Below are 20,466 nucleotides of genomic sequence, written 5' to 3'. Positions count from 1 at the left end.
TCTTAAATTTTTGTTAGAGTATAAATGGCTGTAGAAGATAACAAATATAATAGTTTTGACTGAGTCTTTGAGTTGCTTCTTTATGTAGGAAACAAAATGCAAACTTTCAAAATTTGTTTGCTTTCATTAACCAACAATCAAAATAACTTATTGCCACATTAAAATAATAAGAAACAGGAAATTAAATTAATATGGTACTTTACCTGATACTGAGATTGAGGTTAAAGGATAATAATTTATTCACCCTATGAAGAAAGTGAATATAGAAAGATCAATGTGAAAATCCCTGCAATTCTTAAATTAATATCACAAATATTATATTATGAAATAAGATATAAAGTGGGATTATCATTCTACTATACATAGTATTCTTTGGGAAATACCCCACAAAAATTAATTCACAATTCTAAACTGAACAAACATATTGGCTTACATAAATTTATAAGTATTTTTTATCATAACACTTTTTCTACATTCAGCCATATTTTTATTTTGTTGAATGCAATGTTCTTCTTCATAACAATTATGTAAAAGAAGTATATCATAAAAAAGAAATACTTATAATAACAGCATAAGTATTTTAAAAACGTTCTCACTGGGTATGGTGGCTCACGCCTGTAATCCCAGCACGTTGGGAGGCCAAGGTGGGTAGATCACAAAGTCAGAAAATCGAGACCATCCTGGCCAACGTGGCGAAACCCCGTCTCTACTAAAAAACACAAAAGTTAGCTGGGCATGGTGGTGCATGCCTGTTGTTCCCAGCTACTGGGGAGGCTGAGGCAGGAGAAGCACTTGAACCCAGGAGGTGGAGGTTGCAGTGAGCCGAGATCGCGCTACTGCACTCCATCCTGGCGACAGAGCAAGACTCGTCTCAAAAAAAAAAAACCAAAACAACAACAGTAACAAAAACTAACTTTCTACAGGAAACCGTATATTATTACACAAAATGATCTGTTTAGGCTCATGATACGAATGTCTTCAGAAATTATCGTTTGAAACAGAGCAAGTAATCTACAACATTCTGCACCAAGTAAGATACATGCACACCCCAAAAATAAATCACATGGGGCTTACTGGAAAGATAATTTATGGCTTTAAACAATTTCCTTTCTATTTAGCAACATTTAAAATTAAACCCAATGTAACTACAGTTAGAATGCACTTTTATTAAAAAGTTTATATTATTTTTGAAATTTTTCATTCTTTTTAATTGTGTAGTATTATGCTTTCTTTAAAATACTGATATGGTTTGACTCTGTATCCCTATCCGAATCTCATATTGAATTGTAATCCTGAATTGTGGCTGTTGTAAATGGGATTGTGTTCTTGTTTTGGCTCTCAACTTGAATGTTATTGGTGTATAGAAATGCTACTAATTTTTGTAATCCCCATGTGTTGAGGGTAGGACCTGGTGGGAGGTTATTGGATCATGGGAGCAGTTTCCCCCAGCTGTTCTCATGATAGTGAGTGAGTTTTCACAAGATCTGATGGCTTTATGAGGGGCTCTTCCCTCTTTGCTTGTATGCGCTCTCTCACCTGCCGCCATATAAGAAATGCCTTTGCTTCTCTCTCACCTTCCCCCATGATTGTACGTTTCCTGGGGCCTTCCCAGCCATGTGCAATGGTGAGTCAATTAAATGTCTTTCCTTTATAAACTACCCAGTCTTGGGAAGTTCTTTATAGCAGAGTAAAAAATGGACTAATACAAACAGAAAACAAAATAAAATTTTTTGAAAGATAAAAACATGTGTTGTCAATTCAGTTTCTTACACAGAACTGATAGGATGGCTGAAGCCTGGAAACCTTTCTTAGACTTCTGAAACTTCCGCAGGTAATAGCCCTTCTTGTCATTGTTCACCTGGTCCATAATCAGCAGGTTTCTTTTTTGGGTCCCTAAGATGAGCCTGTGCCAGATCCTGGGTCAACAAGACATAGCAAGACCTGCAGGGTTCATAGATGTTCATGAAACTCTTGGCAAATTACAGGAGATCATCCAAATTAAGCAAATAAATATGGCTCCATGAGCTATAAAGGCTGCATGCTGGGCTGGGTTGAAGAATGAGGGAAAAGATGTTTGGAGGAGCACAAAACCTCTTTCTAGGGTCTACTCTGGGTGGGGCCTTCAGCAGAAAAGAAAGCAAGAGGTTCAAGGTTTACAATAGAAGATTTGGAATTAAAAGAGATTTTAGACTTAGTGATTTCTTGAGTCTTTGTAAGCTCATTTTCTCAACATTTTATACATATTAATCCTTGAATATTCATAAATGTTAATAAATATTTGTGCCATATTTATTACAGCTTTAATAAATATTGTTTTTCTCCTTGGTTCTTCCTTTCTTTTTTTTTCTTTTTCCTTTTGAACTCACCTCCTCTCACCTCCATTCACATTCTGTCATCTCCAGTTTTGGATAAATTCATGAGTTGTGGCCAGCCAACCTTCTACTTTCTGTGTCCTTTTATAGAGAGCTGAATCATAGCCAGACCTCCCAGGGAGCCCATCCAAGCGCTGGCCTAACTTCCTGTGGAACCTAAGAGAACCAAAACCTTGGACCCAATCTTACCCCGAAGTCAACCCCTACGTGACTCCAGAATAACTTCATGACGTAGGAGTACTACATACTCAGTTGAAAGAAAAGGCAGCCCAGAAGAAGACTGTGTCACTTCCAGTGCCAACATAATCAACTATCATGGTAGCCTGTGGCCATTCAGGGAATATCACTGTTCTAATGAAAAGACTTTCTGGTTAATTGAAAATCAGGCTTCATGGAGGAATGCAGGTCCAGCAAGACTGCAGCTATTAACCCTCAAATTAGAAGGTTAAAATTAATAAATCTTTTCTCTTCACTGGTCAGTGCTGTCCAATTTTTGCAAAAGGACAATGAGTGGGGGAGGCATCAGGAACTACAACTTCAATTTCAATGGAGAGAAAAACATTGAAATTAGAAGGAGAGGGTGATTTTCAAGGAGTTATGTTCTCATAACTTACCTCTTCATGAAAAGACTCAGGAGTTGAACAAGGAAAAAGCACTCACTTGTGATCTATGTGGCCCCTTGGGACTCCGGCAGGTGTGCGGCAAGTCATTTTACTAATGGCTGAGAACCAGTCCAGAGCCTCAGGAAGAAGTGACAAAAGTAATGACCCTCATACCCTGAGATGTAAGTCTGGCCACACTTTCTTTCTTTTCTTTTTTTTTTTTTTTTTTTTTTTTTTGATTCAGAGTCTCGCTCTGTCGCCCAGGCTGGAGTGCAGTGGCGCGATCTCGGCTCACTGCAAGCTCCACCTCCCGGGTTCACACCATTCTACTGCCTTAGCCTCCCGAGTAGCTGGGACTACAGGCGCCCGCCACCATGCCCAGCTAATTTTTTGCATTTTTTTTTTTTTTTAGTAGAGATGGGATTTCACCGTGTTAGCCATGGTTTCTTACACCTCACCCCATGTGACAGAATCCAGAACTGCAGAGAGTCCCCATGCAGGACTCTCTCAACCTCTAGAGCTGCCCAAGGGTTGAAATCTCTGCTCATCACCTCTGGATGTGACCTTGGACAACTTGCTTAACCTCACTGTGCCTCAGCTTTGTCATCTCTAAGATGGGCACAACAAATAGTATCCATCTTCTCATGTTATCACTAGGATTAAATGGGTTAATGTATTTAATGTTAAGAATAATATTTGACATATAATTAGGGCTACTAAACTATTATAATTATTTTACTTAGATGCCCACAATATCAAACCAGAAAGGAGCCAGGACACTGTCTATAGACATCCAACATGGTGGCCACTAGCATCCTGTGGTCACTGAGTACTTAAAATGCGGTTGGTCTCAATTGAGATGTGCTGTAAGCGTAGACATCAACCAGATTTTCAGGACTCCGTACAGACAAAGGAATAGAAACTATCCACTTACTACTACTTATTATTATTATTATTATTATTATTATTTTGAGACGGAGTCTCGCTCTGTCGCCCAGGCTGGAGTGCAGTGGCACAATCTCGGCTCACTGCAAGCTCCGCCTCCCGGGTTCACGCCATTCTCCTGCCTCAGCCTCCCAAGTAGCTGGGACTACAGGGGCCCACCACCATGCCTGGCTAAGTTTTTGTGTTTTTAGTAGAGATGGGGTTTCACCATGTTAGCCAGGAAATACTTATTCTTATATCGGTTACATGTTGAAATGATAATGTCTTGGATATATTGAGCTGAATAAAATATATTATTAAAATTAATTGAACCTATTTCCTTTTAATTCTTTTAATGTGGCAACCAAATTCTTAAAGTGTGGTTCACATTATATTTTATTTGATTCACATATATCTAAACTAACATCCTCATTTCACATAATAGGAAACAAGGAAAGCAACAATGTTTTGTGTCTGAACTTAGCAGGGTCCAGCTGAAATTGATAATATCCAGTGCCCAGTCGCTGCACTTCCTCCTACAACCATGACCTATGACGTCACTGTACGAATAACTTTCTCCAGAATCCAAGTGGAGAAATTATGTGAAAACTGACCAGAAAAGGTCAGCAGAATAGACCAGGCTTATTGTGTATTTTCTTACTGGATATTTTTAGTAGCTTTTCTCTCCTATAACTCTTTTTTTTTTAATTTCTAGTTTTCTACATACATTGTAAAGCAAAAAGTAATAGTCATTATCCACTATGCCACATTTTCAAAAGACACTGAATTTTCTATAAATGTCTTCTGAATCTCAGCTTTAATAAAAAGAGACTCTCTTACCCTTTTATTGTCAGAGTTGCTACTCTCTGCTGCACATCAACTTCTGACAAGTCTGTAAATGAATAGCACAAAAATGAGGTTCCTGTTATTGTCTGTTAGGTTCAACAGTCCCTGAACTCTTCAGAAAATAAAGAAATTTTAAAATCTCCCTCAAACACCGGAACACACACAAAGACAATGTCACTTCAGGAAAATATTTTTGGTTGAATGGCCTTGTTCTTAGCCTAGTTACACACCAAAAATAGTCTAAATAACATGTACAAATGGTCTAAAAGGCATGTGAGATGAGAGAAGTACCACAAACCCTCAGTGATCCAGAAAGACCTGAGCTCTTTACATCGGAGGCTTCTCTGCTTCCAAGGAAATAACATGGGCACCTAGAGATAGAGGGCGGGAGACATTTGGACTTCTGAAAATATGCCTGTGATGGATCAAAGGCCAAGGACCTTTGGAAAAACTGACCTTGCTTCAATTCTTGGAGAACAACTAATTGTTCACATTCTTGTCTTGCCTGGATTCTCTTTCTAGTGTCCTTAAGGGAGTGTTCATTTCATGTCCGTTGGAAAAAAAAACAAAAAACAAAACACTCTCAGTCGCATAAGATAGTTCATTCTGTTTTTACAAAAGCTCTAAAAATTAGAAAGTTTTTTTTTAATTAGAAAGTTTTGCATATTTATTACTCCATTCCAGGTGTAAAATCCTGTTAATTCTCTCAAAATCATATTTAACTTCAATTGTTTCATGATACTATATAGCATTAAGTTTTCCACTCGATTTTAGGTTCTGCTTACATCAACCAATCAACAGATTAATTGAGCATTTACTGTAGAGATTTCAGAATAAATATAGAAGCCTAAACAATGGGATTAAATACAAATTCTGTGTACAGATAAAAAACATCTTAACTAGAAAAAAATGAATTTATACTATTCATTCTCGTGTGTGTGCATATATGTGTGTGCATATACCTATATCCACACCTTTGAATGAATAGCTTACTTTATAGGCTACGTATTCTAAAGACAGCCCTAGATAAGATCTCTCTAGACCTCTCCGTATCAACACATCATATGGCTGAGCCTGGATTTAAAGGAGTGTCTTCCTGTTCTTTGTTGCTCTTTACTGTTTCCAAATCAAGACCCTCCCTCCCTTCTGGGCCTCCTTAACTTTGCATCTCAGATATCAGAATACACTGCATGATACCCATTCTGTTATTGTCTTCTACCAACCCCCGTGTGTTAGCTCTTTACTATTTGACAATTAACTCTTGGCTGAAAACAACTCATAATATCTCTCCCCAACACCACCCCTGCCATCACTGTTCAATATCTAGGAAGATGAATTTTTCCATATAAACTGATATTTCAGTCAATTCTTTGTTCTCTTCTCCAACCACATTCTGCTCCAAACTAACTCAACACTCACTTGGATGGGCAAACTCTTGATCTTGTTACCAACTGCTGCAATAGCTTCCTAATCACAATTTTGGGAAGGCTGATCTCTAACATCTACCCCTCCCAGATTTCTACCATACTCCCTCTCTAGCCCCACTCCAAAAATCCTTTTCCTTACAAGGACCTCAAGTCCAGTTCTCCCCCTATCTCTTCACTGTCTAACAACAGTTGTCTCATGCCCTCTGATCCTCTGTTATTCATCTTAAAATCTGGGATTTTTCACTTTAATCAAGATTTTCATCCATCTTCCAGGTGTCTCTGTACATGCTTCCTCAAAAGATAAACAGCAACCACAACAGGAACTGAAAAACAACTCTGCACCAGTGTGGCTAAATGTGCCTGGGCAAAAACAAACAAAACAAGCTGACTGTTCTCATTTTGAAGTCATAACTTCTAATATCGAGTGGCTTGTCATGCTGCCTGGTAATCCTTGTAAATTTCTTTCTTCCATTTGCCTACTTACACCCTTCTCTCTTTTCTTGAATGGCTCTTCCTCCCCATATCCTGGCTCTCAGTGGAAGACCTGCTTTCCTTCCACTGAGAAAAGAAAAGCAATTTGAAGAGAGCTTCCACAAAGTTCCACCGCCATATCTTCCCACCCATGTGCAACTGTGCCCTATGTGCTGGCTTCTCTGCCTTCTCTCCTGGAACCACAGATGAACTGTCCCAAGGCAAATCCTCCTGCAAGTAAGCTGCAGCCCATTTCCTCTTTCCTAACCATGGACATTGTTCCAGCACTTCCCTCCTTTCTCTCCTACTTCATCAATGTTCCTCCATATATGGATCACCTCCATTAGAATATCAACAATCTCTGATTTCATGCATATTTAAAAATATATAACTGTCTCCTGGCTCCACATTCCTCCCTAGGTACCAGATCATTCCTCTGCCTCCAGCCTTCCTTTCCCACTCTTCTGAACCCACCAAAGTCAAGTTTTTGATGCCACCTGTTCTTTATCAAATCTGCTCTTTCCAAGATCACCAATGGGCTCCCAGTTGCTAAATTCAGTAGTCTAATATGAAATTTGCTCTTACTTAATTATACTTTATTTAACTATCATTCATTCTTTCCCCAAAATGCATTTTCCCTTGTCTTGCAGGATACACATCAACCTGCATTTCTTTTGTTATATCTTAATGGAAAAACTCCTCATTTCCGGTTCCTTCTCATCTCAGCCTCTAAGTCTTCAAATCCTTGAGGGCTTCCCTGGAGCCTCTTACTTTTCTTTCTACACTCACCCATCGGAGACCTCATTCCCACCCAAGGCTTTAACTACTATCTATAATCTGATGACCAATAAATGTATCTCAAGCCTGGTTCTCTCCATGGAACACCCAATTGTAAATCTCACTATCTTCTGAGTATCTGTACTGATAGGTATAACGGGCATCTGAAAAGCATAACATGTTCGAAGCAGAAACCCTGATCCCCCCAATACACACACACACACACACACACACACACACAAAATAATTACTCCAGAATTCTCTCCTATCTCAGTAAAAGACAAGCCTCTTTTCAGTCAGTTGAGCTAAAAACCCTGGAATAATCCTTGTCTGCTCTCTCTCACACTTACTTGCAACACTTCAGCAAATACTTTTGGTCCTAGATGGTGAATACATCCAAGAACCCCACCACCAGCACCTTCTCCAAGCCCCTACTCTTGCTTTCTTGTGGATCATGGCAGTAGTATAGGAACTGGTCTTCTGCTACATTTGTTCCTTGAGTGCTGCTCTTGACACAGCAGCTGGCGTCATCCTCTTCACTAGTAAGTCAGATCACCACACACTTCTTCCCAGTACCTTCCAAGTCTTCACATCTTGCTCAAAGTCAAAAACAATGTCACTATAATGGCCTTCATGGCTTTCTGTTCCTTTCAGCTGTTAGGTACCATCCTCCTGCCCTGGGCTTCCCTTTCCCCAGGCGCACTGACCTCCTTGCTCTTTTTGGAAACAGCAAGCACGCTCCTCCCTCACAGGTTTCATACTTGCCCTGTCCACTGCCAGGACACAACTATCTCTTTATGATTTGATGCATGAAGGTGCCCAATGGCCACTCTTTGAGTGAGGTCTTCTCTGCATGATATGAAAGGGTGACTCCTGCTTTTGTCGTACTCTCTGTCACCCTTATACCACGTTCTTTCCATTACATGTACCAGGAAATATGTAATATATATGATATATGTATTTTACATTTACTATATATTATATTATATATGCATTATATATGTGTAATATATCCATATAATATATCATATATGGTATATATGTCAAATATATAGGTTACATATATAACATATGATACATACCATAGATAGTATTTTTTATGTTTAGTATCTTCTAATTAGAATTTGTTTTTTTCTCCACTAAAATTTAGTACCCATGATAGATTTCAGTCAGTTTGGTTTACTGCTAAATCCCCGGCAATCAATACAGGTTCTGGCATGCTTAAAGCACTTAGTAAATATTTGTTTAATTAATCAGTCAATCCAAACCAAATTCTTATCCAGCTTATGCTTAAACCTAGTGAACAGATAATAACTACCTGTTTAGATTATTTATTCCATCCCTAGAGAACTCTGCTGGGAACTTGCTGCATGAAATCCAGCATGTTGACTTTTGATCAGCATTCATATGTCTGTCTAATACAGTCAATCTGAACAAGTCTAATGTCTCTTCCTCCAGATTTTTCATAACAACTATCTTCATTAAGGTTGTGCAAGGAATTCTGAAAAGAAGGCTTGCAAAAACAAGCAAATTTTTAAGCAACATAATGCATATGATATGACATAGCTCCTATGGTTATACTGAGAACCCTCTTCTTGCTCAATAGCCATTGTCTGGGGTTGATCAGGAGGTGACATTAATGTTCTCAAAATACTTTTTAAGTTAGCTTATAGCCAATTCTCTTGGCTCACTGGAGGTTTCTGCTGAATATTGTCTGAAACAGTCTTCCTGGCCAATTAAAATGCAACAGAGGTAAATCTGAAGCCTGTGTCTGAAAATGGAGCTTCCATAAAATATGGCAGTGACAGTGGTATTAAAAGAAAAGGCAATAGTAACAAATAATTGCAAAGAATTTTCAAGGTTTGGGACTCCAATAAAAATTTACAAAGCCGTGTAAAGTCTTAAGAGATGGCATGGGGTAGTAATTAAAAGTCTAGTTTCAGGAGCTAGTTTTCAGTATTTAAATTCTGACTGTGTCCCTCAATGAGCTTGTTAGATTTCAGAATTATTATTTAACAGTGAGTTATGTGTGCCAACCATTTTATCCATTTTTGAATGAGGGTCCATAGAAGTTATTCTGTACTTTTTCTACCATAGTATGTCGGAAGAGTGGTGGGGGAGGGAAGAGAAGATAAACTCTCCTCTTGAGCTCACAGGTCTGCAGATGGAGAGGTGTTATACTCAAGGAATTTACTCAGGGGACACCTGGAGAGCCTCATCCACACCTGAACGGGAGGCAGATGATGAGATTTAGGATTTCAAGCTGATGCTATAAAGGGTTGAGACTTTGGGGAACTTCGAGGGTGATGAGCGTATGTTGCAGATAGAGGAGCAACATTCCTGGGGGGTGGGGAGGGGTGGGCAGAGGGTGTGATGTGAAAACCAGCTCCCAGATGGCCTCCAATACTTGCTACCTTCTAGGATTTATGTCCTGTATATTTCCCTCACACATAGAATCAGGGCTACCCCGTGTGGAGAATTCTGTGAACAGGAAAGTACATAATTTTTGAGGCTACATCATAAAAGTCACTATAGCTTCTGCCTTGGGCTTTTTAATTGCTTAGTCTAGAAGAAATTAACATCCATGATATGAGGCTACTCAAATAGCTCTGTGGCAGGTCCTCAGTGGAGAGGAACTAAGGCTGCCTGTTAGCCATGTGAGTGGACTTCCAAGAAAGCAAATTCTCCAGCTTGGCCAAGCCTCCCATGACTATGACCTGGTAAAATGTTATACTACAATAATACAATAGAATTGCCCTATAGCAAATATGTACAGAATAATCATCTGATGATGGAGAGTTATTAAAATAAAAAAAACAGCTCAACAGACGTCTATTAAGCACCTGTTTGTGGCAGGTGATATTATAGAATAGGACAAGTTACTTGCCTTCAAGAGTCCATTGGCAGTGTCTGGGAGACAGATCTAGTCACAGGAGGTCATTAAATGTGCTTAAACAGAGGTTTTTAGAGAATATTATGGAGTAGACATATATGTCTGGAAGTTAGAAGGGCTCCCTGGGTAGGTATGTTCACCTTGGGCCTTGAGGGACTAATATGATGGTCTTCTGCATACAGACTAGCCTAGGTTTTTGTTCACACAGCCTGGGAATAGGAGACTGACTTTACCCAAAAAAGCTGGGGCTTTAAGGCTTTGCAAGAAGATAGTGTTTGCACTTAGGACATTTGACTTACAGAAAAGGGGATAAAGAGTTTTTAGAAAGGAGGAACAGCAGAGAGCAAGCTCAAAGGTTGGAACATGCTCAGCATTTTGAGGAAAAGACCCTCCTGTGGATGGAGCATGAGGAATTAAAGGTGGAGAAGAGAATGGAAGGAGTCGACCAAATGTTGGGGTGAGTCCTGCAGCAACGCGGCCTGAAGCCACATCACAAAATGTGCACATTTTCTGTATTTCTGAGGAATCACCTGAATATTTTAAGTGGATATTTCAAGGTCAGATATGAGTTTAGAAAATATCAGTCTGACCTTGAATGGAAGATATAATCAAGGAAAGTGAGATTAAGGGGGGTGATATGGTTTGGCTGTGTCTCCATCCAAATTTCATCTTGAATTGTAGCTCCCATAATTCCCATATGTCATGGGAAGAACCCAGTGGGAGATCACTGAATCATGGGAGCAGGTCTTTCCCATGCTGTTCTCATGATAGTGAATAAGTCTCATGAAATCTGATAGTTTTATAAAGGGCAGTTCCCCTGCAGACACTCTCTTGCCTGCTGCCATGTAAGATGTGGTTTTTGCTTCTCCTTCACCTTTTGCCATGATTGTGAGGCCTCCCTAGCCATGTGGTACTGTGAGTCCATTCAACTTCTTTTTCTTTATAAATTACCCAGTCTCGGGCATTTCTTCATAGCAGCATGAAAATGGACTAATACAGAGGGAATGAGATGAAATTCTACCCTAATACCTCTGACCCTCCTTCTTTAAGTGAGAAAGGATGGAGGTCAGATACCAAAGCAATAAGGACAGAAACAAGAGGACAAGTCAGAGACGTACACAAAGAAACAATAAACCAAAGAGTACGCTGTGAGAGAGGTAATGGGCCCTATTCTTCTAGAATAGTGAATGGTTCACTATTTTCACTGCATAATTACATAATAGCATATTTCCCTCCATTTTTCAGTAGACAGTAGACCCGTTACCTAGAAATCATAAAGCTACTGGTTTTTAGGCTGCCCAGGTTTAAAAAGAAACTTTCAAATGGACTAAAGGATTTAACCCATATTTAGGGCTGCTTAATGCCCAATGAGTTGCCTCACTATCTTGAAAAGGCATAATATATACATACGTTTTTGTCCACTTATTTGTCCTGAATTTACAATGTACATTTAAAAAAACAATCTGGGCTGGAGTGGATTTTACGTTTCAGTGTTTCTCATTCCTCTCCCTCTTCAATGTGAATATTGTGAATAATTTCTTTCCAGGGCGGGTATTCATCACTGGATCCCACTGTGGGAGGCAGAGGTGGGCTTGAAGCCGAAGGCTGGTGTCAGCCCGGTCCAACGCCCTGGGTAAGACATGCACTCCGTCCAGCACCCGCCAGCTCCTCTGTCCATCCTGCTTCCCTCCAGGACTGTCTCTTCCTGGATAAACCCATCTAGGAGAAAGAACTGCAGCTGCTTGATGACCTTGAGTGAAAGCCAATGAAAAGTAAAACAAAGCACAAATATTTATTTTTTTTAACTTTGAGGATGATACCATATTCTAAGTGTTTGCAGCAGAAACCACAGCACTGATCTCTCCAATATTACTAGCAAATAAGTGTCCAGAACAACAATGGGATAATTTGGAACAGCTAAATGTCAAGGCCTTCCTCAGCATTCTCAAGGCAGGTTTTGAAAAAATAATCTGAGAGCACAAAGGGCCAAGGTATACCTCCCATTTGCCCTCTTGGGAAGTGCTCCTATAAACAGAATTTTTTTAATGCATTTAACTTTGATTCAGGAAACCTGATATTGAGCTCTAACTATGTCAGTGGAGTTCTGCAGAATCGAAAATTGTCACGTAAGCTGAAAAATTCAAAATTTTGTAAATAGTATTTATTGTAGTGGGCACGACCTCAGGCATACAAAAAGAAATGTGCAACATTATGTTTCTATAACTAAATGGTCTCAAGCCCAGTCCCTTCATCATGTCAGAAAATGTAATACAGCATGCATCAGGGAAAATAAGTCCTTCATTTTAAAAGGCCCTCTTTCAGAATCTGTGCCCTCCTTCTCCTCAGGGTAGACCTTACACCTCAAGCTTCACAAGGAACCTTGTGGGGTTGCAGGTACAAGCTACATCCAAGAAGTTGCACTGCGTCATTCCCACTGCATTCTCTTGACCACTCAGGCAATGCCACTCAGTGTGGGAAGGGACTGCCCAAGGGCAGGAGGCTCAGTTCACCAGGCCGTCTGGATAACTGGCTACCAGGAGGATAGCATTCACAGAGTAAAGGGTGGTGGACAAGAAGAAAGCTACCACAGTGAGGGTGTGTAAGGGGTGTGGGGATTTGAGTCCTACTTCTTTTAACTAGAGGGAAGTTTGTGACACAGCAGACGGGAGCAGTGATGAGGGAGAAGCTGGCTGACCTCTATTGAGGGGATGCCACATAGTAACTGAATATCAATGTAATTTAAACAGGGAACTCATTTAGTTTCTGTAATACGTGTTAATATCGGATTGAAGAGGAAGGGGGAAACACGGGCACTGAGCATTGCTATTTCTTTTAAAGAAAGCACAATTATCAACTCTACCCCAGTAAAGGACTAAATGATGCAAGTATCTCTCTGGTACTATAGATTAAAATTAACAGTAGGTGGAAATAAGAGGAAGGATTGTGTTATCACAAGGAAAAGAGGGGCCAAGCTTATGCTCAGAGTCAATGAGAGCCTTGAAGATTCCCAGCAATCAAAGAAGCGGTCAGCTTACTTATTTGGAAACCAGAAGTGTGACTTTGCCTTCATTACAGATAAGGAAGGCATCCACTGGGGACATGGTAACAGATGCTGCCCAGTGCAAAATGTCACAATGCATGGCCTGTTCTCCCCTGTGACCTTGTTTTGTGGTCATAACAGGATACAGGAATCACTTTGAAATCCTCAAAAGCCCCTAGGCCTTGTGTTAAACCCCACAAGTATTTAGAGTCCCACAACTACGAAGCTGAATATCAAGAGAAAAAGACAGATTCCAAAAATGGTCTCAAAGTACCTCCTTGTTTAAGTTGGCTGCCAGGCAAATCAGTTCATCTCCAGCAGAACGGAAGCTGCCTTTTCAGGGAAGCGTGGCAGCTGCCGGTGAACACAAAGCAGCTCTGTGATGGTTGAAGCCAGGAAAGAAAACTGCCCCCTCCGAGTGGAATCACAGGAAGGAAACCGCCGTGGGCAGCAGGAGCAAGTGCAATCCCTGGAGAAGAGCCGAAGGGGCCCAAGGCCCCGAGAAGGGCAGGATGCGATGCTGGGTGTGTGACCTCAGCCATGGAAGGGCCACCAGCCACCTGGGGGCTGGGCCATCGGGCCTTTGGCTGTGGAGGGAAAAGCCTGGCCACTTGCTGGAGCTGGGAACGTGCAGTGATGAGCACTAGGACAAGACTACTGTGACAGAGAGACACAGAAGGTAAAACCGCCCGAGTACAGGCTGATCCACAGGACTGTGTCCTGGGAGAAGCCTCAGGGTGGATTTGGAAATGCAGAACAGGTTCATAAAATCCTCACACACCTGCCACATATTCAAGGAAGGTGCTGTTTACTTGATTGATTGTTTGTGCTGGTCCTGAACATCTGACATGATTTGTGCTTCTAAGTGGGTGTTTGCCATTGACTATAACTATCTTGGAGTAATTTAACAAACAACAATAGGTATTGGGGCAGGTCAGCGCATCTCCATCTGAAAGACAAAGGAAAGCCGAGAAGGCAGGGCGGGCAGCTCACTTCTCTTTTTACAGAGCTCATGGGGCTCACTTCTCTTTTTACAGAAGTCCTGTCTGTGCTCAGTGAAGAGGACACTTTATGTCACCTCCAGGGAAGGATGTACTGGGGTCCCAACTTCCCTTCAGGGTCCTAACACCTTCATTCCTTAGCCAGAGCATCAAGCATCAAGCACCTGACTGGGATGGCACATTCGGACAAAACCCCACATCCAGCTCAGGCCCAGCAGCCTCAGGAGGAAATCTAAGGCTAGCAGGGCACTCGTGCTGTAAGAACGGGGACTGTTCACAGCGCCAGGGAGAGGTGATCAGAACACACAAACTCACTGCTTCTGATTGCTTTAGAACTAAGGCCCTTTGTCTCATTATTTCACCTCAGGTACATTTTTGAAGGTTGCCAGGATTCACAGAAGGGTGTAGTGGGTGAAAGGGGGACACAGCACTGCCCTAGGGGCCTCCAGATGCGGTTTCTAGACACTCAGTAAAGTGATGGCCTTGGCTGGTAAATCCATCCACTGGGATGTCATCCTCACAACAAAACAGGGTTTAGACCAGCAGATCTCTGACCTTTGCGGCTTTCAGATGAGAGACCAGTTGATCATGATTGGGCTGAATGTTGCTGATTTCACTTGTTCATCATTCACTTATTCCATGTGTCTCTAAGCCTGGAATGTGCGGGAGAGCTGGGGTAGCAGAGATCCCATGATGTGGCTGCAGCTCTAGAGCAGCCTCCACCACAATAAACAAACAGACACACAATTGATTTTGATGATGTTGATATAATGAAGGTAACTAAGTTTAACATTTATCAGAAAAGTGTGACTTCTGCCTGCCACCTTACAATTTGAATCATTTAGGACCATGGCCGTAAGAGTCCACACCCAAAACCACTTACACAGCTGGGTACTTCGAGCCAAAGTATTTCTTAACACAGCTCCTTCTGCTCAGGACCCCAAGGGAAATCAATAAATAGTTCCTCATATGAGCAGGCAAAATTATACTCTTTTTCCCTTCTCTGCTATGCTTTTGACGTGTTATTAAACCCTGAGATAATTATAGGATCCAATTCGGAAATTAAGACTTCTAAATAGTACCCTCCAAACCTGAAACGAGACTTTAATAAACGTCTGACAAATGCTCTGAATGACACGTAACATTTTTCCCACCATCGATATGCGCGGTATCACATTTCATCATCTCATCGAGGCGTGAGGTGCACAAGGGAGAGCGGTTGAGGTTCCAGAAGTTTAGTTAATCTTCTCAAGTTCTTCCCTCTGATACACGGTGTCTACAAATTTCACACTTGGGTTTTTTAGTTGGAAATGCAGTTCTGTTTGTTGAAACAAAGGACGCCAGCTGCCACACGGTTCGTGCACAGGCGGCCTTATGTCCCGGTGAGCATGGGACCTCCCACCAATGGTCGGCCCCAGCAGCACAGCCTCTTGAGATAAACCCAGCCAGTTCCCTCACGGCAGCTGCTCCAGCAGCTGATGCTCAGTTTCCTCACCGCCCAGCTCTGCCCCGTGCTGCCTCTGCTGCCCCTCTGGCTTGTAAGATGCTCTCTGCTGCGCTATTTCCTGCTTGTTCTGCTGTAGGAGGCACCAGCTCTCCGCAGAGTCAATGAGGGGTGACCGTCACTCAATTCCATGGGCAAAGGTGGAGGGAGAGACCTCACTTCACCAAGAAATCCACACTCGACTGTTATCAGATATCATGGAGAGATTCAAAAGTCAAGGGTAATCGTTAAGTGTCCCAGAAGGTCAGGTTTGAGAACCACCGTCTTGCAATAAACAGGGAGGAGCCCTGAACAGAGCAGCATTTGCTGTGCTTAATTTGCCTGAGGCAGCTGGTATGATGGAGAGTCCTGGAGGCTGAGGCTTGAGCAGAGCTCTCTTCCCATTTACTCCAGCGGGAAAGGGCAGGTGAGGTGGGGGAAAGGCAGGGACCACGCCTCCTGTGCCTGCTGTCGGGGCACAGCAGAGTCCTGAAGGGATGGCTTCTCATTCCCAGTCGGGAACCCCTTTGGCCTCCCTGGGACCCTGTTCCTGGCTTTTCCCTCCATCAGTTGGGATGAGAATGTTTATCAAAGAATGGTGCTTACATGGCTTTCAGAGGTCCTTGAAGAAAAGCTGTTTTCTACGTCGTACTCAATATTTATTCCCAGAGCAGGATCGCTTGAAACTTAAAGCTGAAGACTGACACGAGACTAAATTCCACAAGCCATTTCACTCCCAAGTGTCCCAGCAAATACACGTCTCAAGTGCCCGATGTGAGCAGCTGTGCGAGTAAAGGTGATGCACGTCCTCTCCAACCCTTAGTGCTCCTGTGCTGATGAAGGATGCTGAACGCAATCATTATGGTAATGAGGAGGTGGACAGTGCAACCTCAGCTTCCCTCTGTGTTCAACAGCCTCCCACAGGGCAGGCCCCACACGTGCTGAGGCTGAGATCCAAGACTGATGACTCAGCAGAGCAGAGGAGCATGTGTGTGTGAGATAGTGTGTGTGTGTCAGAGAGAGATTGGATGTGTGTGTGTGTGTGTCAGATTTCTAGTGCATGTTTGTGACCCTGTGAGACTGTCAACGTACCTTCGTGAGTGTCTTGTGAGAGTGAGGCCGTGTTTGGTGCAAACATGTGTGACTGTGACTGTGTATGTGTGTTCTGGGGGATGCAGAAGTAAGAAGAGCGATAGAGAGAGCCTCTTACACGCTTTCCCCAGGAAATAATGGACACTGGAATTTCGCCCAGTCCATGGATGCATGTCTTGATGAAGCCTCACTCTGCCCCGCAAAACTTGGGAAAGTGACGTGGCAACCCTTCAAAATGAAAAATGAAATCCCTGTAAACACAGCGCTCCCGGTGATCCTGCTCATCGGTGCCCTGCAGGGCCTTGATCTTGGTGGCAGCTCTTAGCTGACTGCATGGGTTCCCTTATCAAAGGAAAAAAAGGCAGCTAGAAATGTTGTACAATCTTCTTCTTACTTTATTTTTCAGCCTGTCTTTTCAGTCCCTTTACACTTTCAGAACGTACAATGTTGATCACTTCAGGTAAAAAAAAAATTTTTTAAGTTATTTTTGAAAGAAAATGAAATGATTTAGAAAAGTCCATTTGCTAATTTTATATTCTGCTTTCATACAGGTATTAAAGCAACTTAAGTAACAAAATCAGCATAAAAGCACAGAGATTTCTGAATTAACTGTTTCTGTTTTGCCTTGAAGAAATCCCCCACAGTTGGGCACTGAGAGTTTGTTGGAAGCTCTAACCAGGAGGCTCGGCTGCCGTTTGCCACCCTCGCGGGAAGAGCATTCCTCCTCCTTCCCTGGGGAAAGCCTCTCCCAGAAGGTTTTGCTGAGGAGCAGGGGGAGGACAGGGCTACACAGCCACCCCTTCTGCCAAATCTCTCTGAGGAAACAAGTGGTGACAGCTCAGGTCCCCCAAAACAGCTTCTTTCAATCCAGGACTTTCTGTAGAAGAGGTAAATGTGTTCACTTAGGGGACAAGCAACCATACAGAAAACAGGAAGATGGATGCAACTGCTGGAACATTCCACAGATGAGAACCTCAGGCAGGGAGTCAGGACTCAAAGCTCCATCTTCAGGCTTTTGTCTTGAAGTGTGATTCAAGTTTTTAAAATATTTTCATCCCTTATGGAAATACTCATTAATTTTTTGGGAAAACTTGTTTTAACCGTGAGCACTGAGGAGATAAGTTCGTGTTAGGAAGCTTGTTTGCCACAGATTTTTCAGACCCAAGGAAGAGCTGCCAGTGGTATCACATCAACATTGGTTGAGTTATTCCAACAATGATGCTCAGCTGAGGCCCCAGGCAAGCAGGGGTGGAGACGATTTTATCCTCCACCTTGGCCTTTGTCTTTGGTCCATTCTGTGGCACTCTGCAGTGGCAGCGGCTGCTGTTCTGTGGGGAGACAACCTACAGGGAGAAGAGACGAAGCTGAGACAGGGAAACTTGTCACTCCTAAACTGTGACCTCACTGTGACATTTTCCTTTCTAAGAAATGAAAATAGTACCTGTTCTTCACTTCTCAAAAAAGACGTTGAAATGACTGAAAAAATTGGAAGTACTGTCTATGATTTGTTTCTTTATGGATTTTCACTTTTGTGATCTCCCAGTTTTAAGATTAAAGACAGAACCAAAGAGAATATGTCTGGTAGTACTGTGAAAAGCATTTTACAGTCATTTCTAACATATACAGTGGCCAAGATATTTTCATTTCTAAAAAGAACTGCATCTGCAAAGAGACTCTTGCCTTGAGCTTTTCCTAGCGACTCAAATAGAGACCCAAGGTGTCTAAAACCTCTCAACTGAAGAATGTGCGTGTCAGGGGACAAGGGGAGTGACATTCCAGATATTCGTGACACCTCTGGAAAATCATCTTTGTCATCTGTAGAAGGCATCTCTTAATGTTTCTATGCAAACACCCACGAGCATGTCCTAGTTTTCCTTCAGCCTCAGAAAAGCACCCAAAGATTCTGTAGTGTTAGGCATATGCTACAAAGCATTAAGAGGGAAAGAAGATAAAACAGATTCCACATTGATATTCTGTGTGTTTTTCATTATTAGGTCAAGTATATTCAGAGTATCAAATTTTTGTATTGCTTTGTAATGATCACGCCTTGAATCCAGGAAGAAATGCATCTTCTTCAATGGAGCTGAGAATAAGTATCACAGTTTAAGCTGGTTTTGATTTGTTATTCATTGAAAACAAAGCAAGTTGTTGGTTTTTAATAAATGTTAAAACCAATCAATAAAAAGTAAGTTGGACTTATGAAACGGTCCATTTGGGACTCATAGAATATAGATGAACTAAAGTGTTTTAGCAAAGCACCTGAAAGGTCGAAAAGATGTTGTTTCTGGAATGGCTGGAGATTTAAAGCACAAGTGCTAGAAAAGAAAACAAAGGAAAATTCAATTCGGATTTATCAACAACATGAAGCCAGGAGACATGAAGCTGGAAAATAAGCAAGCTAATTACCATCAGTGAATAATAAATTAGACCTCCACTAAACAGAACAACATTTATTTAAGTAGAAATAAAAATAAAAGTACTTCTTATATTGCCCATAATGTTGCACAGCCATTTTAGTTTCTTTATATATTCACTGGCTTTATATTATTTTGGAAAACATAATATCGGCTCTCTATACACTGAAACAAAAAGGTACATTTGAGGACTGTAGGAGGATATCACATCCTGCCTGCACTCAGAAAAAAACATTGCTCCTGAGGAAAAATTGCTGCTCTTAAATTTGCTGTTGCATTTCTTAGCTAAGAAGCAAAGATTCCTTAGTGGAAGGGGAACGGGACAAGGCTTAGATGTTCCAACTGCTCTAAAAGAAATTTAAAAATAGAGTAATTGTAGGTAGTAATTCCAAATAATACAAAATATTTAAACTCTTATTCCAGTAAAAATGTCTTCTGTTTGTAAAGATAAAGTAGAATTTTGAGTTTAAATTGTTGAAAATTAATGTTGAATTGTTTTTTAAATACATTGAGAAAGACACATGTCCCATTTTGTGTCCACTTATTTATATGTGCTCTGTTTCTTAACCCATACACATTTATTTTTTATATGTGTATGTATTCTATACATTATTAAATATTTGATGTGCATTTATAAATGGTATATTTAGATATATACATGTCCATACATGTATATGTAAATATCTGAAAGATCATTAAATTTTTCTGCGTACTGAACACTGATATTTCAAGTGATTTGTTTCTTTTTTGTGATTCTCTGTGATGTAAACGTCTTTGTAAAATCATCATGTATTTATCTATGTCACAAGCAAAAAATGTTAGACATTTTTATTAGGGTAAAAAATGTAACTGCTTAATATGTGAGAAACAGATCTGGCTCTTTCTCCTGTATATCCTTCTCTATAATATAATAAACTTTCTTAGGGCTTTTAAGAAATGAAATACCTTTCTCACCCCTAGACACCACCTACATTTTAAACTAATAGGGGAAAACTAAAATTATTATTGTTTCAATTTTATTACTTTATAGTGAGCCACTGTATTTTTTAAGAGCATAAACCATATTTGCCTAGAACCAAATCATTCGCTGTAGATGATTCTTGCAAACTGGATTGATGTGTAAG

At 41.1% G+C, this 20,466-nt stretch overlaps 2 long non-coding RNA genes across 2 annotated transcripts, besides 1 other annotated feature; one reads left to right on the top strand and one right to left on the bottom strand.

The window, feature by feature from the left end:
• Positions 1–158: 158 nt before the first annotated feature.
• LOC102723339 (uncharacterized) lies at positions 159–13,713 on the bottom strand. Its single transcript, XR_001742599.2, has 3 exons — positions 13,627–13,713; positions 4,739–4,790; positions 159–245 (listed from the first exon to the last, which is right to left on the bottom strand). It is a non-coding gene; the product is annotated as an uncharacterized LOC102723339 (long non-coding RNA).
• Positions 13,307–13,925: an enhancer, noted in NCBI's record as "H3K27ac-H3K4me1 hESC enhancer chr5:8060973-8061591 (GRCh37/hg19 assembly coordinates)". NCBI's record gives its function as "activates a minimal SCP1, AML or CMV promoter by ChIP-STARR-seq in naive H9 embryonic stem cells {active_cell/tissue: H9 hESC(naive)}" and the evidence as "EXISTENCE:reporter gene assay evidence [ECO:0000049][PMID:30033119]".
• Positions 17,301–19,423, top strand: LOC124900937 (uncharacterized). Its single transcript, XR_007058684.1, has 2 exons — positions 17,301–17,388; positions 17,480–19,423. It is a non-coding gene; the product is annotated as an uncharacterized LOC124900937 (long non-coding RNA).
• The last annotated feature ends 1,043 nt before the right edge of the window (positions 19,424–20,466 follow it).

Source organism: Homo sapiens, chromosome 5 (genome assembly GCF_000001405.40).
Source record: "Homo sapiens chromosome 5, GRCh38.p14 Primary Assembly".
NCBI classification, from domain to species: Eukaryota; Metazoa; Chordata; class Mammalia; order Primates; family Hominidae; genus Homo; species Homo sapiens.
This window is presented reverse-complemented; position numbering and strand designations above follow the sequence as displayed.